This window comes from Homo sapiens, chromosome 1 (genome assembly GCF_000001405.40).
Source record: "Homo sapiens chromosome 1, GRCh38.p14 Primary Assembly".
Lineage (NCBI taxonomy): Eukaryota > Metazoa > Chordata > Mammalia > Primates > Hominidae > Homo > Homo sapiens.
The window spans coordinates 62,084,793-62,111,819 of NC_000001.11; the positions used below are offsets into that span (position 1 = coordinate 62,084,793).

The 27,027-nt window shown below is 40.9% G+C and overlaps 1 protein-coding gene across 19 annotated transcripts in view; it reads left to right on the forward strand.

Moving 5' to 3' along the window:
* PATJ (PATJ crumbs cell polarity complex component) overlaps positions 1-27,027 on the forward strand; it is a 421,436-nt gene that overhangs the window by 342,313 nt on the left and 52,096 nt on the right. For 7 of the 19 annotated variants that reach the window (XM_011540462.4, XM_011540467.4, XM_011540465.4 and 4 more), the window contains 2 exons: positions 15,527-15,616; positions 23,645-23,728. The exons of 3 other annotated variants lie outside the window; for them this stretch is intronic. In XM_011540462.4, coding sequence (XP_011538764.1) covers positions 15,527-15,616; positions 23,645-23,728 — 174 coding nt within the window. Of the gene's footprint in view, positions 1-15,526; positions 15,617-23,644; positions 23,729-27,027 lie in introns of those variants that run through there. 9 more of the 19 variants (XM_011540466.4, XM_047424287.1, NM_001350145.3 and 6 more) reach the window with 3 other exon arrangements.

The window sequence follows — 27,027 nt, forward strand, 5'->3', positions numbered from 1 at the left end:
CTAGCTAGTTTTCAAGTTTTTCTCAGTGTTTAATTTTCAACAGTGCTGGGCGCGGTGGCTCACACTTATAATCCCAGCACTTTGGGAGGCCAAGGCAAGCAGATCGCTTAAGCCCAGGAGTTCAAGACCAGCCTGGGCAACGTGGCGAAACCCCATCTCTACAAAAAGTACAAAAATTGTCTGGGTGGGCTGAGCACAGTGGCTCACGCCTGTAATCCCAGCACTTTGGGAGGCTGAGGCAGGCAGATTACTTGAGGTGAGGAGATCAAGACCAGCCTGGCCAACATGGTGAAACCCTATCTCTACTAAAAATACAAAAATTAGCTGGGCATGGTGGTGCACACCTATAGTCCCAGCCACTCAGGAGTCTGAGGCAGGAGAATCACTTGAACCCAGGAGGTAGAGGCTGCAATGAGCTGAGATCGTGCTACTGCACTCTAGCCCCACTCCTTAGGAGGCTGAGGTGGGAGATTCACTTGAGCCCAGGAGGTCGAGGCTGTAGTGAACCGTGATCATGCCACTGCACGCCAGCCTGGGTGACAGAGAGCAAGACCTTGTCTTAAAAAAAAAACAAACAAAAAACTTTCATCAGGATTTTCTCCATCTAGGATGTTGAATATTTTTATAAATACTTATTAGACCAACAGTATCACAGCAGCATTTAGAAGTATTTAAGAGGATGCCTCACACATAGTAAGTGTTCAGTAAGTAGGAACTGTTGTTATTCTCATCATCATTATTTAATGGAATTGTAGATAAAAAGTATACATCAGGCCAGCATGGTAACCGAGGCAGGTGGATAGCTTGAGGCCAGGAGTTTGAGACAGCCTGGGCAACATAGCAAGACCTCATCTCTACAAAGAAAATTTTTTTTAAATTAGCAAGGCATGGTGGCACACACCTGTATTCCCAGCTACTCAAGAGGCTGAGGAAGGAGGATCACTTGAGCCCAGGTGTTTGAGGCTGCAGTGAGCTATGATCATGCCACTATACTCCAGCCTGAGCAACAGAGCAAGGCCCTGTCTCTGTTTAAAAAAAAAAAAAAAAAAAGGTATGCATGAATTATTCCGGCCTAACAATTTAGGGTTCATTTTACACTGACCATTTTCATATCTACTCATAATTTTTTTTAGAAGTCGGTGTAGAATATTAGTGTTTCCTGGGATGATTGACTTTTTATTGTTTTTTATTTTTTTAAATAAATAGAGATGGGGTCTTGCTATGTTGCCCAAGCTGGTTTTGAACTCCTAGGCTCAAGCGATCCTCCTACCTTAGCCTCCCAAAATGCTGCAATTACAGGCATGAGCCACTGTGCCTGGCCAGGATGATTGATTTTTCATTATTCAATACCTTTTGTTTATCACTGCTCAGTAGCGCCATTAAAATGAAAACTTTTCCTGGGTTTTGATTTACTCAAGATGTGATTAATTAATGCATGTGTGTGTGTGTGTATGTGTGTGTGTGTGTTTAATACCTGCATATTATACAAAGTTAAATTGATACAAAAGGAAAATTGTGTGTGTGTGTATGTAATACCTGCATCTTATACAAAGTTAAGTTGCCATAAAAGGAAAAAAGTGAAAAATAAATCTCCCTCCTACCTTTTTGCCCTAGCTCTGCCCTTCACTACCTAAAACCAGGGCGACTCCCTAGAGACAATCACTCTTGTTAATGAATATGTTTTAAATGAATATTTTGGTATTTCTTTTGCCCATTTTATTTAGTAAGCAATAAATTGTACATGCCAGATAAAACAAACATATCAGGGTCTATAAAACTATTTTTTTCCACATTGGGCAGTAATGTAACATTTTTGTGGTAGTACTGTTGGGGGTGGGGAGATCCTAATCTACTTTTGTGTAATAAATATTAGTTCCCTAAAGCACTAGGAAACTCAAGAACAGCATAGGCGATAGAAACCAGGGTCTTGATGATGCAGGAGTTTTCTCTTGACCCCTTCATCAGACTTGCAACAGGGGTACTGTTTACTTGGAGCGCCTCGCTCAGCCTGTTGTAGGATGGAGTTCATGAGAGAGCGAGTGCAGGACCCAGCTGGCTGCTTTGGGTGCCGGCAGGAGCAGGCTCTGTGGGGTCCCCTCGGCCAGACCAGGTAGGGGTGCCTGCGACCCCTGAAGCCCCAGAGAGTGTGTTACAATGCTAACCTCCGTCGTCCGTGGACAGCGGTACGTTATCAGCTCAGTGGGCCCCTTGCCTTGTTGCATGGGGCAGCTGCTCCCCACCAGGGAGGGCAAAGGGCCAGTGTGACAGCCTTTTTTGGGTACCCGCACTCGGTGAGTCCCAAGCTCCTGTCCGGCGTCCGAGAAGAATTAGGTTGCACAGACACTTGAAGGATGGTGGAGAAGAAGAATTTTATTTAGCAACGGAAGTGGCTGTCAGTGGAGAGGGGAGCTGGAGAGGGGACAGCACAGGCAGAGAGTCTTCCCTGAAGTCCAGCTGGCTCTTCTCTAAAGTTAAGCTGTCTCTCCTCCAAAGTCCAGCCATCCCTCTAAAGTCAAGTTGCTTCTCCTCAGTCAAGCTGCTTCTCTCCTCTACCAACTGAGTCTGAGATCTTTGTAGGCATAGGATGGGGGGCGGGGCGGGCCGTAGGTAGTTTTGGGAAAAGCAACATTCGATTGGTAAAAAGACATTATTCAGAAAGAACCAATCAGGAGACAGCAGGCAAACAGGGATAGAAGTTATCACTTTGGACCAAGGGTTTCAGGCTTCTCGGCTCAAAGGTGGGGTTTTGCTGGGGATCTGCCCATGTCTGCCTAGAATTTCTCTGCCTCCTGTCCCTATCATTAATGCCTTTTACATGTTTGCTGGTCATGGTCCTTCCCTTTCCTACCATTGGGCCCCGTCTAGAAAATCCTGGCTTTGAGCCCCACCCTGCTAGTGAACCACCTCACCTGAACCTGAAAGGATTTTATCTCCTTCTGCTTGATAAAAGTACTGTTAACATTTTTCTCTGGAGTTCATGAAAATTTATGTCCTGAATTCTCCTCTTGCCTTTGCAAGCAGGAACTGCTGTGTGGCTTCATACATACAGGAATTTGGTCTGCGCTGTATCTTCTAATCGTATTTTTAATAATTCTTTGTAATTTTTTTTTTTTTTTGAGACGGAGTTTCGCTCTCCTTGCCCAGGCTGAAGTGAAATGGTGCAATCTCGGCTCACCGCAACCTCCGCCTCCCGGGTTCAAGCGATTCTCCTGCCTCAGCCTCCTGAGTAGCTGGGATTACAGGCATGCACCACCATGACTGGCTAATTTTGTATTTTTAGTAGAGACGGGGTTTCTCCATGTTGGTCAGGCTGGTCTTGAACTCCCGACCTCAGGTGATCCGCCTGCCTCAGCCTCCCAAAGTGCTGGGATTACAGGCATAAGCCACCACGCCCAGCCAATTCTTTGTAATTTTATGTCATCTGGTCTCTCAGCAGTTCACAGAAACACTTTGACTAGCGCCAGCCACCCAGCTAGCTCCCACTTTATGTAGAAAGTCTCACATACCACCAACATAGGACCAGACCAGACCATCGTTCCCCAAACCTACATATGCACTCCAGCATCTCGGACTTTGCCCTGCTCCCCTGAATTTGCTCTCTTCTGCCCTCCTTCCGCTCCCATCAAGCTTCTCTACCTCCTCTAAGCCACTCTTCCCAAAGAAGTCTTCCCTGGGTTTTGTGATTGGTCTTCAGCCAAACTCAGAGGTGATGCTGACCATTCCTCTCTTTTAGCTCTCAGTCATATTCCCTCTCTACCATTTACTAGCTGGGGCAGACTTCTTAACCTCTCAGTCTATTTCCTGCTCTATTTACAGAGATAATAATACCTTGTAGACTTACTAGGATGATCAAAGAGATGACCTTCATAGGATGTTTAGCACACAGTAAGCCACTGCCCATGGCACATACCTTCTCCAACTCTCTGTTTTCACATATGCAAAATGACCTTAATATTCCTGACTTGTTGAGTTATGGTGAGGATCAGATATCTTATAAACAGTAGAATATATATATATAGAATATATAGAACATATATATAGAATATATAGAACATATATATATAGAATATATAGAACATATATATATATATATATTCAGAAACTACTGGTTGACCCTGAACATTGGGTGATGGCTGCTTCCAAGGCGTGTTTCCACACTTTCCCGAGGAGGTGTTCATGAATATTAAAAACAATAATCCTGGGAAGTTACAGTTTAAATTCTGTAGTGAATTCCTTCATAACAGAAAATTAACCTTTGATTACTTTTGTAAATAAAAGTCTTTTTACATTGCTTTTTATATGGGAATAGATTTCCCATAGGAAATCGGAAGAATTTCATCAGCACGTCCAGCCTAGCTGAATGAGTTGTGGTTTTGCTTTTGCCGCTGTTAATCTGACTTTGTTTTACCTGGGTTGGTTGGAATACCTGAACGAGATGTGTCTTCTGTGCTGCTCTTGGGTCTTCAATATTGCATTCATTTGTGCTGGTGGCTGATAGCTTGAGGGTTTCCATTGAATTCCATCACTTCCTGCAAGGAATGTGAGGCTGTTTGCTAAATACTGTACTCTCCTTTCCCTGCCACTGTGAGGCAGCTAAAAAAAAAAAAAAATCAAGAGCTTCTTGAGGTTCGTAATATATAGTTCTGCCTTTTCAGACTGTAAATCCCATTGTCCTTGGAAGGATAAGCATGACTTTAAAATGAGGGATGGGACACAGCTTTTATTTCCTAACCTCAGGTACCTCATCAAAAGCCATAAGTTAGACTCAGGAGAAATATATAGGCCTGTCTGTCATTTCAGTGAGGCTGAACAGTGAGGGTTGGAAAGCACTTTAACAAATAAAGCTATTATTTACCACAATGCAAATCTTTCATTTTTCTTTTTTTTTTTCCCCTTCCAAATTTTGACATGGAATGTGCAACCTAACTGATACCATAGGTCACATTTTCCAGTCAGGTCTTGGGATGGCATCCAGCTAGCAGAAAGTTAGCAAACAAAGATGAGAGCATATCAAAGCGAAATGGTGGAAAACATTGAGACTCACTACAGAAGAACCTTCGCACATTTGGTTAAGTGATGCATCCTGACTCCAGCTCTGGCATGGGGAAAGAGTATGTCCTGACTTCTGGTGACCCTTCTTAACATCTGCTCCAAACCTCCCAATTAAGATTTCTGTGTCTTCTTTGTTGTGTGTCCAAAAGATATTTTTGCTGTCTTTAGAGGAGTTAAGTCTCTGGAACCTGGTCTTGACACCACATCAGTCCTCTCTGCTATAAATAGTTTCTCTGGAGCCAAGACAGACGGTTTCTGAGATCACAGAGGGAGATCTCACTTAGCATCCCATTGTATTTAAATCGACCTTTTAAAATGCCGAGGTAATGATGAGGGTGAACCTCTTGGGAAGGTTTACAAGCACACCTGGACCCAATCCTCAATGACAGACTTCTGCCTGTTGTTTTAATCTTGTGATGTTGCTCCCAGGCTTGCCTTTGGTGGATGCGGCTCTTCTGTGATAGGTTGCATATGTTTGCTCAAAGGCTGCCCTTTGCTTAGTGCTAAGGATACAAGATTGAGTGAGATAACCTTGTCCTAGAAGAGCTCACACAGTCGTTCAAGTTAATTCTATTGACTTTTAGTGATTATGGTCTAATATAGGAGGTAAACCAATGAAAAGTCATAATAATGACTATTAAAATAGGGGCTTCCTCTGGAAGCCAGAAAAGAGTAGAGCCATGGCATCCACTTTCTAGATTTAATTAATATAAGCTATTGTTATGTTTCTTATTAGCCGGGAAGCCAGATAAGGCATATTGGATATCAGAGGTAGTATATTAATTCATAATTTTTATTTCCTTCTATCCATCAGTCCATCCTTTCTTCCTGTCTTCTATCTCCCTCCACCCCTCTGGTCTTGTTGGAGTGTTGAATTTGCATGAAATCCTACAGCTTAGAGAACTCATCCTACTCTGTCAAATGAAAGACCAAGGCCTCTTACCTTTTCTGATGTTTGCATCGTATTCCTTAAACTCCTCCCTGATGTCCTTCAATGTCCACTTCTCAGAGATGTATACTCGTTGATTAGAAGTTTTATCAGCAATACCCTCAGAAGAAGTAAAAGATAGCTCTCCAGACTCACTCACTGGGGTTATTATCAGGCTTGGGAATTATAGAGAAGAAAAACTTCAGAACTAAATCCTTTATCTTGGATTATTGGCAGACTTGAACTGTTTTTGGAATTGAACAAATGAAGTGGAGAAAGAATGAGAATGCAGTCTCTAGGACCCTCTTTCTATGCATTTTCCTTCCCTGAGATCCATTGCCAGAGATCCCAGGCTATGAATGAGATCCCAGGCTGTGAATCCCAGGATATGAATGAGAATGAGGTCTCTAGGACCCTCTTTCTATGCATTTTCCTTCCCTGATACCATTGCCAGAGATCCCAGGCTATAGACAATGTGTTCTACCAAACCTAAAAGGCACCATAGCAGAGTAATGATGCTGGTTCTTTGGCATTAGAATTTTAGATATTTAACTGTGGGACTCTGGACAAATGACAGCCTTTCTAAGTTAAATCTGCTTCTTCATTTGTGCCACTGTGGTGATAACAAAAATCTACCTCTTAAGATTGTCATGTGAATTAATTAAGATAATGAATATGAAGAACTTTACCCAGTGCCTATTTAAACTGAGTTCAGTTATTATTAATTATAAACATTTGTATTAAAGTAGATCCTTAACTTTGTCTGTGTGTCTTTGGTATATTACCTGGACAGTGAAATGTGGCTTTGTTCCTAGACAATTGCATATTTGTTTTTCAACATCAAACTTTAAAAAAGTGATTTGGCTGGGCAAGGTGGCTCACACCTGTAATCCCAGCTCTTTGGGAGGCTGAGGCACGTGGATCACTTGAGCCTAGGAGTTTGAGACCAGCCTCGGCAACATAGTGAGACCCCATCTCTTATTTTAAAAAAAAATAAAATAGGCTGGACAGGGTGGCTCATGCCTGTAATCCCAGCACTTTGGGAGGCCGAGGTGGGCGGATCACCAGAGGTCAGGAGTTTTAAACCAGCCTGGCCAACATGGCAAAACCCTGTCTCTACTAAAAATACAAAAATTAGCTGAGCATGGTGGCACGTGGCTATAGTCCCAGCTACTTGGGAGGCTGAGGCAGGAGAATCACTTGAACACGGGAGGCGGAGGTTGCAGTGAGCCGAGATCGCACCGCTGCACTCCAGGCTGGGCAACAGAGACCCTGTCTCAAAAAAAAAAAAAAAAGGAAAGAAAATTAAATTAAGTGATTCAAGGCCAGGTGCAGTGGCTCACACCTGTAATCCCAGACTTTTAGGAGGCTGAGATGGGAGGGTTGCTTGAGGCCAGGAGTTTGAGACTAACCTGGGCAACATGGCAAGACCCCTGTCTCAAAAAAAATTTTTTTTAATTAGCTGAGCATGGTGGCATGTGCCTGTAGTCCCAACTACCTGGCAGGCTGAGGCAGGAAGATGGCTTGACCCTGGGAGGTCAAGGCTGCAGTAAACTTTTATTGCACCACTACATTCCGGCCTGAGCAACAGAGCAAGACCTTGCCTGTTAAAAAAAAAAAATGTGATTCAAGCACTATTCTCTTTTTAGATTTAGATATTCTTAATGATAAAAAGTCCTGCGAATGTCAGAGTTGGAATTTTTTTTTTTTTTTTAGACGGAGTCTCACTCTTGTCGTCCAGGCTGGAGTTCTCCTGCCTCAGCCTCCCATGTAGCTGGGATTGCAGGCACCCACCACCACACCCAGCTAATTTTTGTATTTTTAGTAGAGATGGGGTTTCGCCATGTTGGCCAGGCTGGTCTTGAACTCCTGACCTCAGGTGATCCACCTGGCTCAGCTTCCCAAAGTACAGGGATTACAGGTGTGAGCCACTGCACCTGGCAAGAAAACGACTTTTATTTATTTATTTATTTATTTTTTTATTTTTTGAGCCAAGTCTCGCTCTGTCACCCAGGCAGGAGTACAGTGGTACGATCTTGGCTCACTACGGCCTCCGCCTCCCAAATTCAAGAGATTCTCCTGCCTCAGCTTCCTGAGTAGCTGGGACTACAGGCACGCGCGACCACACCCAGCTAATTTGTTGTATTTTTAGTAGAGATGGAGTTTCACCATGTTACCCAGGCTAGTCTCAAACTCCTGAGCTCAGGCAATCCGCCCGCCTCAGCCTCCCAAAGTGCTGGGATTACAAGCATGAGCCACTGTGCCCAGCCGAGAGTTAGAATCTTGTCATTTCTCTCCAAGTTTCAAATCCACATTTTTTTCAATCACCTGATTTAATACCAATTTAATTCATTCTTATTAAACAGAAGTTCTATAGGGCAGCTACGTTAGCAAGAAATATCATGGTAGACATACTCTCCCATTTGGGTACTATGTGGCAAAATTCATCTATCTAGAAATTGAAATAAAGAATACCTGTTCTTTAGCTATAACCATATGTTGTTCTGAAGTGACCTCACTTAACCCCTCATCATGTTGCATTCTGGTACTGCTTTTGATAATTTAAACGTAGGACTACAGCAGTTTAAACCACTGGATATTTTTTAAATAAGCAGAATAGAAAGCTATTTTATATTTGATTAAGTGTTTTATTTTGTTATTCCCCCTGACGTGAACTTTGTACGGTCTATTTCATGAGGAGTGTGGTTTGCTTTGGCATGTGATCCACCAAAGCCAAGCTCCTTTTATTGTTATTGCTTAAGTCATATATTTTTATACAAAACATCTTATTACCTTAGTTTTATTTTAAAATCAAAGCAGAGTTTGCAAAAAGTCTATGAATCACAGTGAAAGAATGTTAATGAATAGTACCTTTGAATTCCAGATTTGGACATTTCTGGTCTTAAAGAATATGAATATAAGCAAAAATATTATGTAAGCTAAGTCAAATTTAATAAATAATAACCAAATGGAACTGTGGGGATTTATAAAATATAATGCAAATCATATACCATTTCCTTAAAATAAGTCTATATTTCTGTATGAAAAATTATATTCATATTGATAAGTATCAACTTTTTGTTAAATGAAGACTTGGGTAACGGAATTCCATTTTAAATAAATATAAAGCCATTTCTTTTTTGAGCTTAAGAAGAGAAAACTTGCTCAGTCTTGAAATGCAAAACCTTTTAATATATTTACAGCAGTTCTTATGTTAGCCATGTATTGCTGTGATTTTATTTCACATATTAGTTACCTGTAAATATATGTAATAGTTTGCAATCCCTGAGTTTGGGTTTTAGGATTGCTTGCATAGTCCATTGCATTAAAAAACACACACAGCCAGGCACAGTGGCTTATGCCTGTAATCCCAGCACTTTGGGAGGCCAAGACAGGATGATCAGTTGAGGCCCAGAGTTCAAGACCAGTTCCGGCAACATAGTAAGACCCTGTCTCTACAAAAAATTAAAAATTATCCAGGTGTGGTGGTGTGTGCCCTGTGGTCCCAGCTACTTGAGAGGCTAAGCAAGAGGATTGTCTAAGTCTGGGACCTCAAAGCTACAGTGAGCTGTGGTGCCGCCACTGCACTCCAGCGTGGGTGACAAAGTAAGACTCTGTTTCTCTTTTTTTTATTTTTATATTTTAAAATAATGATATAGATAGGGTCTTACTCTGTTGCTCAGGCTGGTCTCAAACTCCTGGGCTCAAGCAATCCTCCTGCCTCAGTCTCCCAAAGTGCTGGGATTATAGGCATGAACCACTGAACCTAACCTAGATTCTGTCTCAACACACACACACACACACACACACACACACACACACACACACACACACACAGAGATGTTAGTGTTATTTCTTCTAGTGTAAGTGAGTATTTAATCTTTTTTATGTCAAAAGAGCCACCATTATTTATTGCTGTTATAATGCCCACTTACGTTATCTATAGTTTATTAGCTGAGAATGTTTCAAATATTTCAAAACAGTAGGTACTGAACATTATGATCCATTTTCTTCCTTCTTGAGGGATTTTGTAAATGAATATTAGGATATATAGACTAGCTCTGTGTTTATTTTATAGCAGAGTTTTGTAAGGGTCAACTGAAGTCTGACTGTGTTGTGAGATTTTGGGGAAAATCTGTGCAGTAAACTAATTTATTATTTGTGAACCAAATAGAGTATCCAGATTTTTTAAAACTATGATTTCAAGTATGATCAGTAAGTTCCTTTGACCCTTGCTGACTTCCCTTCTACAGCTACAGTCCCTCAGGTTTTCTGAACAGAAACAATTATCTGTTCAACCTATGGAGCTGGCAGGCAAAACAACATCAGCTCGGCAAACACTGTGTATCTTCAAAGGCAATAATCTTTTATCGTGACCCATGGTGGGAAAGTAGTAGATTGAATGTACACTTGAGTGTTAGATTCATCCAAATTGTAAAATTGTTAAAATAAGAAAAAAATTATCTTAAAGTAAGTATAATTTCGATTGACTACATTCTGCCTCAGGTCCTGCATGCTCTTGTGAGATACTGAAATTAAGTAGTGCTTAATCTTTTGCTTCTCATGAATCAATGAGGTGATACCAAATAACTCTTTATATCAAAGAAGAGAAAAGTTCTTGGTCCAAAGGTGGAGAAGATAAGTAACTTTCCAACTCATCTTGAATCATCTCTGCATTTTACCTTTGTAATTGGTTCAAAAAATATAGATCCACAAAATGCATTGACATATAAGCATAAAAATACATGCCACAGCATAGAGGAAATGCATTTTTAAGTTTCTCATCCTTGGATTCATCAACCCCTGCCTCATTGTGGCAAGGACTGCCTTTGTCAACATGAGTCCTGTCAACTCTATTAGAGAAAGCATTTGTCTGCATTTCTGCCTTTCACATTGTGCTTCCCAGTTTTTTTTTGTAAAGTATCACCCGGGAAAAGCAACAGTAGGAATTATAGCTGATTCTCACTGTTCACAGGAGTTGTATTCTATAAAGTCAAGGCAAACACTGATTAGTGAAGAGTGAACCATTGCTGCTAGGGGAAATACAGAGGCAGGTTTTTCCAAGCTTCTAGTCAACATTTTCAACATTGCTTTATGTATGTTTCTGCTTAAAGACACCTCGTTTAATATATAGTGTTGGTTCATTAACATTGAATGCATGACCAGCAGCACTGAAACTCATGCCTGAACACAGCTTATCTACACACATACTCTCTCAATGAAGCACATCCTCGTCTTCTTGTACTTAGGAACACTGGACAGAACCCCAGAACTATGCTTGGGTGCCATTTTAAACAGAAAAAGCACAAAAATTAAAACAAAAAAAGACACTAAATAGACCACAAAAAGGGTTCTTGTTTACCTGTTCAACTATGCAGCTGGCAAGCAAAACAACATGAAACAAGAAGTATGGGAACTGAAACAAGAAGGCAAAGTAACACCTTTTTCAACTCCAGCTGGGAAAAAGGAAATCAGAAGACTCAAATTTCTACCACTGTACATTTGAGAATGATGGCAAAAGTGCTGAGAGCATTGATTTGGGGGTTACAAATAAATTTTAGGGAGTAGATGGATTCACAGATATGGAATCCATGATCAGTGAGGATTGTACTTGACCAAGAAAAATCAAAATGTCTGGGAATGAGACTCCTGCAGTCTGGCTTAGAGCTTGTTGGCATTCACATGGTCCTTTGAGCTTAATCCTGAGTAGTCTGTGACTTGGGAAAAATAATCTAAAATATCCTTGTAGTATAATCTTTCTTGAAAGATTATATTTCAGTTATATTTTGGGATCACCATAATAACAGGAAAACTAGAAATGAAAAAAATGGACAAGACTGGTGTCACTCATCCTTAGAGTCATGAATTTTGATCACTTTGTCACCCAGGCTGGAGTGCAATGGCGCGATCTCAGCTCACTGCAACCTCCTCCTCCCGGGTTCAAGTGATTCTCCTGCCTCAGCCTCCCAAGTAGCTGGGATTACAGGCACCCACCACCACACCCAGCTAACTTTTTGTATTTTTAGTACAGACGAGGTTTCACCAGGTTGGCCAGGCTAGTCTTGAACTCCTGACCTCAGGTGATCCACCTGCCTCGGCCTCCCAAAGTGCTGGGATTACAGGCGTGAGCCACTGCGCCCGGCCCAACATAGATGTTTTATATACTAGATATGCCCCTTCAAACTTAGTATCTATGTTAGGAGCTCTCATGAGCAATTACTCAATACCTGTGATTTAGCTGACACTTTACTTGGCATATAACCCCATCTCATCCTGAAAATCTAAAAGGGGGGATTTATTAGTTCCATTTTGCAGAGGCAGAAAAACTGGCTCAGAGAGGTTAAATAACTTAATGGAAGTATCATAAATCTATGATAGGTGGCAGAGCTAAAATCTGAACACAGGTTTATCTGGCCATAGCCAGTACTCTTCCCAGCATACATTGCTGCCTTCCACTGTTTGCAGGCTGGAAAATTCCTCTGGCAACCTTGATAGAATCTGTGGTACATTGAAACTGGCTATATGTGCTGTCTCAAATTTTAAAAAAAGGAAAAAAAAAAGACTATAAATTTTATGCAGCTCTTTCCAGATTCCTTGAATCCAATCTGACCAATAGTGACAAAAGTAGCATTGTGTGACTTTTAAGCCTTGGTCTCAAGAGGCCTTGCAATTTTAGCTCTTGCTCTCCTGAAACACTGCTACCCTGTGAAGAAGTCTGGACTGGCCTCCTGGAGGATGAAACAGCATGTGGAGAGACCACGTGGAGGGAGAGAGGCCCAGCCATTCTAGCTGAGGCCCCAGACATGACAGTAAAGCCATCCAGGACACAACCAGCCTGGGTTAACCTGACAGCAAGCTCACTTCAGAACCCAAGCAACATAATGTAAAGCAGAAGAACTGCACAGCTGAGCCCAGCCTAAATTGCAAACCCATAGAATTGTAAACAAATAAATAGTTGTTTTAAGCCACTAAGTTTTGCGGCCAAAGGTAACTAAAACAGAGTCTGACTCCAGCCTCCATAGCTTTTATATCTTGTTCAACCTATGCGAGTTAGGATTCTTCTGACCTACCATTTAGAAGGAGGTCTTATTCTTAGGTAGGACCTAAATATCTGTATAAAACAGTGACTTTATCTGCTTCACTCTACACAACATTTGGGTTCATAGAGGCCTAGAATTTTAGAACTGGAATGACTTTAGAAGTCATGTAGTTCAGGCAAGGTGCAGTGGCTCACCCCTGTAATCCCAGCACTTTGAGAGGCGGAGGCGGGCAGATCACTAGAGGTCAGAAGTTTGAGGCCAGGCTTGCTGGGTGTGGTGGCTCACACCTGTAATCCCAACACTTTAGGAGGCCGAGGCAGGTGGATCACGAGGTCAGGAGATAGAGACCATCCTGGCTAACATGGTGAAACCCCATCTTTATTAAAAATACAAAAAATTAGCCAGGCATGGTGGTGGGTGCCTGTAGTTCCAGCTACTCGGGAGGCTGAGGCAGGAGAATGGCGTGAACCTGGGAGGTGGAGCTTGCAGTGAGCCGAGATTGCACGACTGCACTCCAGCCTGGGTGACAGAGGGAGACTCCATCTCAAAAAAAAAAAGAAAAAAGAAAAAAAAGAAGTTTGAGGCCACCCTGGCCAACATGGCGAAACCCCATCTCTATTAAAAATACAAAAATTAGCTGGGTGTGGTGGTGTGCACCTGTAATCCCAGCTACTCAGGAGGCTGAGACATGAGAATCACTTGAACCCAGGAGGTGGAGGTTTCAGTGAGCCAAGATTGTGCCATTGCACTCCAGTCTGGATAACGGAGTGAGACCGTGTCTCAAAAAAAAAAAAAGTCATGTAGTTCATTCAACTCTGTGCTTTACTGGTAATATTAGTGTCATGAACAAATTGATCCAGTTGGTTACCTGCAGAGCTGTCAGAAAATTTAATTCCTCTGACCCCCCAGTCCTGAGTCTTTTCTTTCACAGACTACTGCACATTTTTTTAAAATCACATTCTAGTTGAATATAATAGGGAAGCTTTTTAAAATTTTTAAAGCATTTGGTCACAAAGGCTTTAGGATGGAAAAGAATCGTGTTCTAAAACATTCAAATTTTTTTTATTTTTTTTAATTCTACTCTGTTAACTGAATCCTTTTTTATATATAAATACAGTTTGGGGTCTATCAGCTTTGCTCAAAGTGAAATATACTTTAAAAGTTTTAACCTAACCCTTTCTTTTTAAACTCTATAACTGTAGTAGACATCACAAATCAGTAACTTAATGCATAACCATGTGTTTTTCAGTGTAGATTTGGATGTAGTTTTGGTTTACACAGCACTAGATTGAGGATTTTGCCACCTCCGCCATATTATCAGCCCTCGTTGGTTTACGGCTTTCCTGCTGAGAAAGTCATCTACTGTGTAGAAGACATGGCTGTCTTTATGATTTCTGAACAGGGACAGCCATAGAGGGGAAAAACTATTAAATGGTGTTTAAAAGCTACATCCTTCCTCCAAGGCCACAGATCCAAACCATAGTTTTTTTCAAAGGAAAACATATGACTATTTTTTTGTATACAATATCTCCAACTTTTTTTTTTTTTTTTTTTTTTTTTTTTTTGGTCCTCATGGGTTTTTCTTGTTAGGAGGGACTTTTCCCCTAATGCAGGGTAATAAGACATAACACTCTTTCTGGATCACTGGTGAATATGTTTTTCACCTCAATGTGAGATTTAATGTGAAACTTTTCTGTAGTTAAAATGTCCCTTAGGATTTTTTTTGTATGTGTAGGGAGTGCAGGTAGGGACTTTTATGAGTATGGCAAAGATTGAGTTTAATTCCAGAGTAGTGATCAAATTAAGTAAAACATGCCTGCAAGCAGTGTAATTAAGCCGTGTATTCATAGTTCTTTATAATAGTATCTACATATGATTATTTGTCAAAGTTTTGTCCTAAAATGCTTGTTAAAACAATCTACTAAATATCTAGAAATGTAAAATCTCATCTACTAAAATAGTTCACCCACAAAAGGGTACTTATTGATATCCTTCAGCCCACAGGAGACCCTTAGTTAATTTTTCTAACACCTGGCTTCTTTAAGTGTTATGAGTCTATTGTGACAATAAGGTTGCCTTTTGCTGAATGATTGGTGTGTTTATGAGTTACTTTATCTACCTGTTGGCAGCTTGAACAATAAAAATGGTGATTGATGAGCTGAAGTGTCTGGTGACATTGACTCTGTCTAAGGATATACTATTGCATGTTGTGAAATTCTTTTCCAACAATTCAGAATTTAAATCCCCTTGGGGGAGTTTGGGATTTTTGTGGGGCTCAGTGATAATTAAGTCCTTAATACTTGGTTCTCTTAAATTGCTCTCTGAGCTAAAGTAAATCCTCTGGAAACTTCAATGGATTTAAAATCCATTTGTGATGGGTATTTTGGTTGTGTGTCACTATTATTTTACCATCAGAAGCTTGGTGTCTTACTCCATTTTCTGCTGCTATAACAGAATATCTGAGACTGGGTAATTTATTAAAAAAAGAATTGTATTTGGTTCACAGTTCTGGAGGCTGGGAAGTCCAAGAGCATGGAGCCAGCATCTGGTGAGGGCCTTCATGCTGCATCATCCTGTGACAGAAGTTGAAGGGCAAGTGAGCACATGAGGCAGAGAGGGAGGGGGGCTGAACTCTTTTTATTAGGAACTCACTCCCAAGATAGCAGCATTAATCCATCCTTGAGGGCAGAGCCCTCATTACCCAATCACGCCTTAAAGGTCTCACCTCTTAATACTGTCACAATGGCAATTAAATTTCAACATGAATTTTGGAGGGTACATTCATACCATACAATTGGTTTTGGTTGGAGTAAGATTATGACACACTAACTTTTCCAGCCTCCCCTTTCTGAGTCATTGTAACCTCTATCTATCTCCAACCAATTTCTTGACAATCATTTAATGAATGTTTATTGAGTGCCTACTCTGGACTTGGCACCAGAATAAAAAGATGAGTTGGAAGCAGCCTCTGTCCTGAAGGCTTCCATCAAGGATGGGAGGTGGCGCAAGACATAGAGCCCTGAACAGACATTCATGATGCTGTGATAAGTTCAGTGGTACTAATGAACTTACGTAGTGGTGACTCACAAGAAGGATCAATCAACTTTATCAGGGGAGGGAGTTAGGGAAGGTGTTATAGAAGAGGTGGCACTTGTAGAATTTCATGAAACAAAGGAGGTAGCAGATAAAAGAAAGCATAACCCTCAAGCACTTGGTAGCCTATACTTCAAATATAGATATATGGAAAATCTCCACAAAAATACACAAAAAACTTAATACTGCTTGTTTCTAGATAGAGAAATTGGGTGGCTGAGGAACAAGTGCTAGAGAGATACTTATCAGTGAATACTATTTTGAGTATGGTACCATGTGCATACATTATCCATGTTTAAAAATAAATACTCTCTTAGGAATGGAGACGTTAACACAGTAGTTTCTTTTCTTTTCTTTTTTTTTTTTTTTTTTTTCTGAGACAGAGTCTCGCTCTGTCACCCAGGCTGGAGTGCAGTGACACAGTCTCGGCTCACTGCAAACTCTGCCTCCCAGGTTCAAGTGATTCTCCTGCCTCAGCCTCTGAGTAGCTGGGACTACAGGCACGCACTATCACGCCCAGCTAATTTTTGAGTTTTTAGTTGAGATGGGATTTCACCATGTTGGTCAGGCTGGTCTCAAACTCCTGACCTCAGGTCATCTGCCTGCCTCAGCCTCCCATAGTGCTGGGATTACAGGCGTGAGCCACTGTGCCCAGCCTAAAGATAGTAGTTTCTTAAGCAACATGATGAATTTGCTAGCCAGCTACTTCTTCCTGGTTGTCCATTTTTTCTTTAATGTTTTAAATGTTTATAAAGATTTGATGTTTTAAGTGTTTAATTGTGGAATAAAGGGAGTTTTCCTTGGTTAAAGGTGTTTCAGACAGACTGTTGAGGGAGAAGTTTTTAAGCAGAAGACTTCCCATGTCTCTCAAATCCTGTCTGACCCTTCTGGCTATGAGAAAACCACTATTTGGGAGATTCTCCCTTTCACTGATTATGTTCTTCACTGGCTCTTGAGTTGGCAAGTCAAATGAATAATTTTAAAGTATCCAGGCTGGGCACAGTGACTTACACCTGTAATCCCACCACTTTAGTAGACTGAGACAGAAGGATCACTTGAGCCAAGGAGTTTGAGACCAGCCTGGGCAACATAGCAAGACCCTGTCTCTACAAAATATTTAAAAATTAGCGGAGCATGGTGACATGTGCCTGAAGTGCTAACTACTCAGGAGGCTGAGGTGAGAGGATCACTTGAGCCCAGGAGGTCAAACCTGCAGTAAGCTAAGATTGCACCACTGCACTCCAGCCTGGACAACAAAGCGAGACCCTGTCTCAAATAAATAAATAAATAAATAAATAAATAAATAAAACGTTCAAAAGGAAATCACTGGTCTTGTCTGAAGCAGTAAATAAACAGGTCATCTTACTTACATTTCTGTTGTCCCAGTGAAAATCACACAACTACCAGGAGGAAATTCATTTTTGACTCTGTCAGTCTTGATCACCTATAAATGATCCTCAGTTCTGTGCCGTTAATTGATAGAAATTAATCTTTTTTCTTGGGCTAAACAACTTTTTGTTTTGAACATCAATGTATCACTTGTATCTATTGTAATATTTTGTATTTGTCTTAGAAAAAAATCATTAAGTGAATAATATAGGTGCACAGAAATAGGACTGAAAAGCTGAAGGTAAGGAAGGAAAGAGATAAGAATAACAAATGGGCCAGGCGTGGTGGTGGCTCACGCCTGTAATCTCAACACTTTGGGAGGCTGAGGTGAGAGGATCACTTCAGCCCAGAAGTTCAAGACCAGCCTGGGCAACAAGGCAAAACCCTGTCTCTACAAAAAATACCGAAAAAGCACAATTAGCCAGGTGTGGTGGCACACGCCTTCGTCCCAGCTACTTGGGAAGCTGAGATGGGAGGATTGCTTGAGCCCAGGAGGCCCACTTTGCTGTGAGCCAAGATCATGCCACTGCACTCCAGCCTGGGCAACAGAGCAATACCCTGTCTCAAAAAAAAAAAAAAAAAAAAAAAAAAGAATAACAAATGAGAGGGACTCTGTTGGAGATTGGGAGGGGGCCTATGCATCATGCTTTCTGTAGTGCAAACCCCTAACCATGTGCCAGCACTAGCTAGTGAGATCTACAGATCATCGCCTCGCCTCATTAAGTCAAAGGCTTCAACTTCTGCTTCCACAAGTCATCTTTTTGTTCACTCTCTGTAAAATAATCAACTCACGCCCTCAAGTTTCTGCTGTGGAGTTGAGGTGACAATATTTCAACAGAATTGATGCCATATGGAAAATCCCAAGCTAGCTTTTGTACAAGTACAAAATCAAATATTCAAAACAGATGAGAAGCTTACTATCGTGGTGGGAGTACAGGCTTTGGTGTTAAACAATCCTGAGATGGAATTTCATCTCTCCTAATTAGAAGCTGCAGAGACCTAGTCAAGTCTGAACCCTTATGAGCTTTCGTTTCCTCAGCTGTAAGTGGAACTAATAACACTGAATTTGATGAGTTGTTATGAGGATTAAATTGGACAAATGGGAAGTGTGTAGCATCTATGGCACATAGATGTAAAATAAATAAGAATGGACAGGTGCTATTAAAAATATTACCTGGCCGGGTGCAATGGCTCATGCCTGTAATCCCAGCAGTTTGGGAGGCCAAGGCGGGTGGATCACTTGAGGCCAGGAGTTCAAGACCAGCTTGGCCACCATGGTGAAACCTCATCTCTACTAAAAAATACAAAAATTGGCCGAGTATGGTGGCACATGCCTGTAGTCCCAGCTACATGGGAGAACAAGGCAGAAGAATCACTTGAATCTGGGAGGTGGAGGTTGCAGTGAGCCGAGATTGCACCATTGCACTCCAGCCTGGGCAAAAGAGTAAGACTCTGTCTCAACCCAAAAAAAAAAAAAAAGCAATCTATCGCTTCCTTACTGTGTGCTCGCACTGTACGTAAAGCCTTATTGGTAGATAATACTGTTAAAACCATCTAAAAAGCGGAGCCCTGGGGAGGTTAACAGTCTTCCCCCCAAGTCCCACGGCCAACAGTAGCAGGGCCAAGATTTAGACCAAAGAAGTCTGACTCCAGAAGCCTAGCTCATAATCCTTTGCCTCTATAGCCTGTCTTCAGAGTGAGCCAGCAAGCCACCTGCAGAGTGGGTTGATTAATGGACTGCTTTTGGAATAGATGAGTTTTAGAAATCACTGGTATTTGTAGGCTGGAGTCACTGAGGTCTTGGGTTTTGGAATGTTATTTACATATGCAGAGATAGGAAGGGAGGGCGGGTAGGGGAGAAGGCACTCAGAGCTGCAGTTTTGCTTGAATAATTCAAGAGCATTAAAATTTAGGAGGATATCCAATGATGAGATAAGCATCATATGCATAATCAACACCAAATTTTTAATTTAAAGTAATAAAGGTCAGTCTTTCATTAATGACCTATTATTCCATCTATTCACAAAGTAGATGCATAAAATATCCCAACCCAGTATCTTTTTTACTCTTCTGTTCCACTCTCTGAATTGCATGTTTTAAAACATAAATCAGGTTTTCTTTTGAATTCACGAGCCCACATTTCTAATTTAGCTCTTGGTCCCCACCTTCCACCTCTCACCCCCAATTAATGTAATTATCCAGAACCACAGCTTCATAGACTACAGGGGCACACAATAAGAAATGTGGCCTTTTTTTCCCCTAAATACACTAGATGAATTAAACACAAAACAAACAAACAAAAAAAGAAATGTGGCCGTTTTCTATTGACAGGTCACAGTGTCTCGTATTTTCTTGTATCTTCACTGATAACTTTATTTTTTATTTTTTTATTTTTTGAGGCAGAGTCTCATTCTGTCTTGCCCAGGCTGGAGTGTGGTGTGATCTCAGCTCACTGCAGCCTCTGCCTCCCGGGTTCAAGTGATTCTCCTGTCTCAGCCTTCCGAGTAGCTGGGATTACAGGCACGTGCCACCATGCCTGGCTAATTTTTGTATTTTTAGTAGAGACGGGGTTTCACCATGTTGGCCAGGCTGGTCTCGAACTCCTGACCTCAGGTGATCCACCCACCTCAAGTGATCCACCCAACTCGGCCTCCCAAAGTGCTGGGATTATAGGCGTGAGCCACTATGCCCAGCCTTCACTAATAACTTTAAGAGGAATTACAGTAGCAGTCAAACAAAAAGAAAGAAAGAAATGGAGAATTTTAAATACAGAAAGACTTACGGACTAAAAATGGATCATTTGCAGTGAGTTCAGCATTTGAAACTATTAATATATTATTCCTTTAGGGTCACTGGCATCCTTTATGTAGGATAGTTCATTGAGCGCCAGAAAATATCTAAGGATTTTGAATTCAGACCGCTTTTATGGAATAAAAATTCCAAGGGGGTCTTTTCTTTCTTTTGAGTACGAGTGAACAGAAATTTTCTATTTGCCTTTTGTAATGTTCCAAGATCAAAGGAGTTTTTGCTGAAAATCAAATTCTGTAAAAGCCATGCATAGTCCGAGTGTAGTGTGTGACTCTTTCAATCCAGTGAAAATAGGGTATTTGGGGACCAAACTTTGAAAACCAGTATCATTACAGGGTGCTACCAGGAGTCTGCATTAGTTTCTCCTCGTACTACCTTAATACAAATGACCTTTGGTAGGATCTCATTAGTGTCGCAGGGATCACCGCAAGCCACTGACCCCGCAAGTTTCCTCCAAATCATTCCCCTGAAACAGTTCAGAGAAACAAACTCTTAGCAGTGTAAACACTCCCTGGGTCTGGAAATTTCATAAATCAGAGTTAAAACAAAGAAAGGTCTAAAATGTATTCCTGGTACAGAATCTGAAATGTAAATTGTCTGGATCCAGAAACTTTTCCTGGCTTTTGGGGGCTGCCTCTCTAATTGCTGTAATAAAGAATGTTTTCAGAACTGTATAGTGATAAAATGAAAGTACGGTATTTAGCATTGTAAAAGTATTTGGAATCCAGATGGGTTATTTAGTTATAGACCTCTTGTTTTCTTTTGTTGCTTCTCTATTGTGGAATTTGTATAGAAGCCCTTTTTTTGTTTTTCTGTTGTTATTTTGTTTTTAATAGAAAGTAAGCCTGGTGCTATGGGACATGCCTGTAGTCCCAGCTCCCAGGATGAGGCAGGAGAATCGCTTGAGCCCAGGAGTTCTGGGCAACATAGTGAGACTCCTCTTAAAAAAAAAAAAAAAAAAATATATATATATATATACACACACACACACACACACACACACACACACACACACACAAACACACATATATACATGTGTATATGTGTGTGTGTGTGTATATATATATATATATATATATATATATGGCTGGGCACAGCGGCTCATACCTGTAATTCCAGCACTTTGGGAGGCCAAGGCAGGAGGATTGCTTGAGCCCAGGAGGTTGAGACCAGCATGGGCAACATAGTGAGACCCCCATCTCTACTTAAAAAAAAAAAATTGTCCAGCCATGGTTGTGCACACGTATAGTCCCAGCTACTTGGGAGGCTGAAGCAGGAGGATTACCTGAGCCCGGGAGGTCGAAGCTGCAGTGAGCTATGATTGAGCCACTGCACTCTAGTTTGGGCCACAAAGGGAGATGCAATCTCAAAAAAAATTTTTTAAGTTAAAAAGCAAACAAACAAGGTTTGGTGTGGGTGTGAGTGTGGGTAGGTGTGTGTATTTTGTCTATCTTGTCACATTTTTGCAAGAAATATTCATTTCTTTACTTCATATGAACTTAATTCTGAGGCTCCATACTTCTGGACTAAGGTGAAATTCAACCTCAGCCATTTTGGTGGCTCGTTAACTCCAAAGGGTACCAACCAAACACCCAGACATTGATGACGCCCCTGTGGTCATTGCCATCAGCACTGCCTGCTCATCATCAAGCCTATTCTTGGCCAAGCCTATAAGATCTCTCAAGTCCAGAAGTCCTGCTGCTTGACTTCTTTCATGCCTGGGGTCCTATAGGTGTCAGCCTCTAGGCTCTGACAAGTGTCAAAGATGTCAGCCCTTGACCATTGCCAGCAGGGTCTTAAAACCTGTGTGTGTGCACTGGGGGCAAGGAATAGGAGGACCCTGGGCACTGCAGGACTCAAATCCCCACTGTGGGACCCATAGACCTCTGTTTCTAATCTCCACTCAAAAGCTGTGTCCCTCTCGGCTGGGTGCAGTGGCTCACACCTGTAATCCCAGCACTCTGGGAGGTGAGGCGGGCGGATCACAAGGTCAGGAGATTGAGACCATCCTGGCTAACACGGTGAAACCCCGTCTCTACTAAAAATACAAAAAATTAGCCGGACGTGGTGGCGGGCACCTGTAGTCCCAGCTACTCAGGAGGCTGAGGCAGGAGAATGGCGTGAACCCAGGAGACGGAGCTTGCAGTGAGCCAAGATGGCACCACTGCACTCCAGCCTGGGCGACAGAGTGAGAGTCCATCTCAAAAAAAAAAAAAGGAGAAGCTGTGTCCCTCTCTCAGCAGCCCTCTAAGACACCTATCATAATCCATTCAGCACTCTTCGGTTCTATTAAAAACAGAAAGAGCCAATGACTTCTGGTTACTTCAGTTTTCAGCTCCACAAAAATCCCCAAAGCGAAGAATTTCAAAGCTTGACTACTTGCTCAACAGGAGGGGGATGAGGGTGGGCAAGCTCAATTTAATATTTTTAGAATAGTCTCTCATCAAAATATATAAATATTTGGGTGCATAAATGTGAATTGTCTGGAGAGATCCTTGGAAACTATGAGTGGTGATTGATGGGACTGAGTCTGGGTGGGAAGCAGTCTATTTTTGTGCTTTGCAACAACCTGTGGTAGTATTACTTGAATCCTATACGTGGGTACATGTCATTTTTATGATGATAAATAATTTTTAAGGTTATGAATCTGAAGAGATACAAATTATTTTTTAATTCATTAACTATGAAACACTTTTCCCAACCAAAGCTTACCTACAGTAGATATTGTTGTCCTAATTTTATGGCTCAGATTGCTGAGTTCAGAGGAATTAATTGCCCAAGATTACAAGAAGGCAGAGTCAGGATTTGAACCCATGGCTGTTTCACACTTAAGTCCATGAATGCTGTTTCCCCTGCTCCTGTTTTCTTCTCCTCCAGGACCCATTCATTCCACTAAGTTCTTTTCTTTCATTGCCCAAGTAATAAGGCCTGGCAAAACCTCCTTCATCAGGCCACACATCTATGCCAAATCCTAGAATACCAATAAATACCTGAAACCGTGTTTCAAAATACACTATAAAATGTAAATAAGAATGACACATAGTTCACCTCAAGTTCATACACAGCAGCAATGTACAGGGTTAACAGTAAAACACATGGAAGAACTTTAACATGAAGTATTAGGCAGAGCCAGTTTTAAAGGAATGAAATAATAATCTTAGGAAAATTTAATTATACCTCTGAATATATCATAACTGTGTATATTGTTTATCTTTATGTCAGATAAAATATAACATTATTAACAAATAGAAAATTATGGGTTGCTGCCTATTGGTTGTTTGCTTAAGGAAGCATTTGTGGTTGTTGAAAATGAGTAAGATTTTATTTTTTATAGAATGCTATAGTTATCCATGAAGTCTATGAAGAAGGGGCAGCAGCCAGAGATGGAAGACTTTGGGCTGGTGACCAGATATTAGAGGTATATGGTTTTGAATTTTATTTTATATCAGTAAATGTGGTTCCTTTGCTGGTCTCGATCCATAAAGTTGTCTTTCTACTCAACTGTATTTTCACTGATTCCTCTCCCATTTAACAAAATACTTATCATATTCTTTTTTTCTTCAGTGTACATTATACAGTGGTTTAGAATCATGACAGGTTATCAATCTACATTTGTCTATGAAAACTTTTTTTAACTAAAAGGAAAAATAGAACTTATGGGTCTATTATTTTAATATCAAATGAGACTATATAATATTGCAAATTTTTTGCCTCTCCATTATACCCTACTAAATTCCTCCTAAAAACACATACATATAGATACATACACATACACATATATACCTGATATTTTAAAGATTTTATGGCAGCTTAAATCATATTTTCTTAATCTTAATAAATCTTTATGCCAAATGGAAGTTCATGCCTTGCCACCAATGTTTTCAAGTTGATGAAAATGTAAAATCTTCCCCCTATGATGCTTACTAAAAATTGAAATGCTTAACTTTTTCAAATTGACTCTCATTTAGCAAAGTTGTTAAAGCCTTTTAAAAAGTACCAAAGCAGGCAATGTCTGCACTATGGAATGGCTGAAGGAGAAGGCGATGCCAGGCGTTCTGGTAGGTGGAACTAAAGAGCTTTCTCGATGGTGTGAAACCTTTAGGCCACGTTTTTTTTTTTTTCATTGAATGAACTTAATTGAATAGTTGGCATTTTATGGTGAGCATGTGCATTTTTGCTTTGCAACTTTAATATAGCACTTACAAATGACATCATAGAATTTTATTTTTCCCTTTGGTGGTTCATTTCTGCCTCCCAAGATGAAACCAGAGATATAATTAAGGGCAGGAAACATAGGCGAGAAGGGGTTAAAGGAGAGGCCAGGCTGATTGCAAATTAAATTCAGCCCAAGTTACAGGATTTCTCTGCAGGCCTTTACTGTGTTTCATCATTGGATTAAGACATATTCCCAGTACATTCATTAAGGTACAAGTGTATGAGGTTAGAAAAATAAGCAAGACCTCTCTGGGAGCTGGCTTGACTGCCTTAGCATACAACATGGTTTTTTAGCAGTCAGGAGTTTGGGGTTTCTTTGTTTTTCCCTCCCTAGATTTTCAAATCAATTGGTGTTATCATAATTGGCTTTTTAAGATGAATAGATTAAATATTTAAAATGGCACATATGCCTTGATACTTATATGATTTCTAAGTCCGCAAGTTATAATGGTCACTTGAAACTAAATCTAACATGTTCATTATCTTGAATGTGGTGATGGCTTCACAGGTGTAAGTACCCATCTGGCAAAACCTATCAAATTGTACACTTTAAGTTTGTGCAGTTTATTTTATATCAATTATACCTCAATAAGGATTTTTTTAAACTATTTCTGTTTGTATTAGGTAGACCCTCTGTAGCTGCTCTCTTCTATAAAGTATATTCAAGTACAAGCAAACACCCAGTAAAGGTTAACCTGAATAAAGCAAATTTATTTTAAGTGAGAGGAGAATTTTTCAAAAATCAAGTTAACAGTTTCCTGGCAACTGGCAGCATTATATTATCTATTCTGAATGGATGGCCTATACGTCTCATTAAAGATGGCCAGTACAGGCTCCTCTCTTACCTCAGACAAGGTCTAGTTCATGAGAGTCTAACACTTGTTTAGCTAAGAAATACAGCTCTCAGTTTGGTCAGGGAACGTGTTTCCTTTCTAAACAGCTTTCTAATTCACATTGGACTGGTTCTGGTTGTGGCTGATGAGTACAAATGTGTGATGAGGCATCGGCAGCCTGTGACCCACAGGAGGCCTTGAGAAGACAGGCCTGTTTTCGTGGGATATTTTGAGACCATGAAACAGCGTAACACTACATCAGCACTTTCCCAAACAATGCCCTTTGCACTCGTGAGAGTCCTCCGCATTCCGCAAATTGGCCTTTCATGGTTTTAATACTATCCTCATGTTAAGGTTAGAACATGCCAGATTTTGCTTCCAAAGATAGGGACGAATAATGTTTTGGCATGGCAAGATTTATGATTCTATTAATATGATGAGCGTCAGCTGTGTCTCCTTTCTGGTTCTCCTTTTAGGCCAGTTCCTTCTCATACCCTCCCCGCAGTCTGCAAGTGGGAGCAGAAGAGAGTAGAGAGTTAACGTCTGATTTTCCCTATGCAATAAAATGTGGAGGAACTGCTGCACTAGCTTTGTTATTCTTTCCTTCTCAAGAACTGTGTTCACCCACTTCCCCACATGGCCCTTCCACCCAAGGGATGTGGTAGTCTCCCTTTGACTACTGGGTCTTCCTGGAGCCTTTCTTCTCAAATAGGAAGCCCTGCTATTTCCACCCCTCTTCCTCTACAGCCAATGTTCTAAATAATGCATACTGTGCTTCTGTAAGGCACTTACATAATACATCTCCCCACAATGTTCTAGCCACGCCATGATATTTCTCTCATGATTATCGGCACATTTCGTGGTATCTCCTGATTCTCAGAGGAGCAAATGGAAACCATGAACTTAGATCACTTCCATCCGAGCAGATACCGTCATGCTGGAATTTAATAGAAATTGCTTTGTAATATTAGAGCTTAATGACAATGCTTTTAATTAAAAGTATATTTGTTAGGGCCTTTCGAACAGTATTTAGAGGCTTAGAAAGTTCACCTTCAACCCATAGAGGTAACTGGGTTTTTTTTATTGAGTGACAGAAGTGGTCTTGTGTGCCATCTGTTGGAATACAGGAAAATAACTCAGACCACATTTCCTGGAAATACACTTTTCCTCTTTGTGTTTCATTCACAGACAATGAAAATGTATTCATTGGCCTAAAGTAGCAGTGAATGATCATGCTGAGAGGAAAAACAGCCTTCACTGAAGTTACTTCAATTCCTTGTAAAATACCAACTTCTAACTTACATTGGATATAACTGTGTGCCAAGCCCTGTGCCAAATGATTTACAGGGTTTATTTCATTTAACCTTCACAACACTAAGTAAATATTATTACCTCCAATTCATAGATGACATGGCAAAAGTTTGGCTTAAGTAATTTACACAGGGTTTCATATAGCCAGGAAGTTGGAATCAGCACTCAAACTGAAGTGCATCTATATCCAAAACCCATGTTCTTTTTTTTTTTTTTTGAGACAGAGTCTCACACTGTTGCCCAGGCTGGAGTGTAACAGCACAATCTCTGCTCACTGCAACCTCCGCCTCCCAGGTTCAAGCAATTCTCCTGCCTCAGCCTCCCAAGTAGCTGGGATTATGGGCGCCTGCCACCAGGC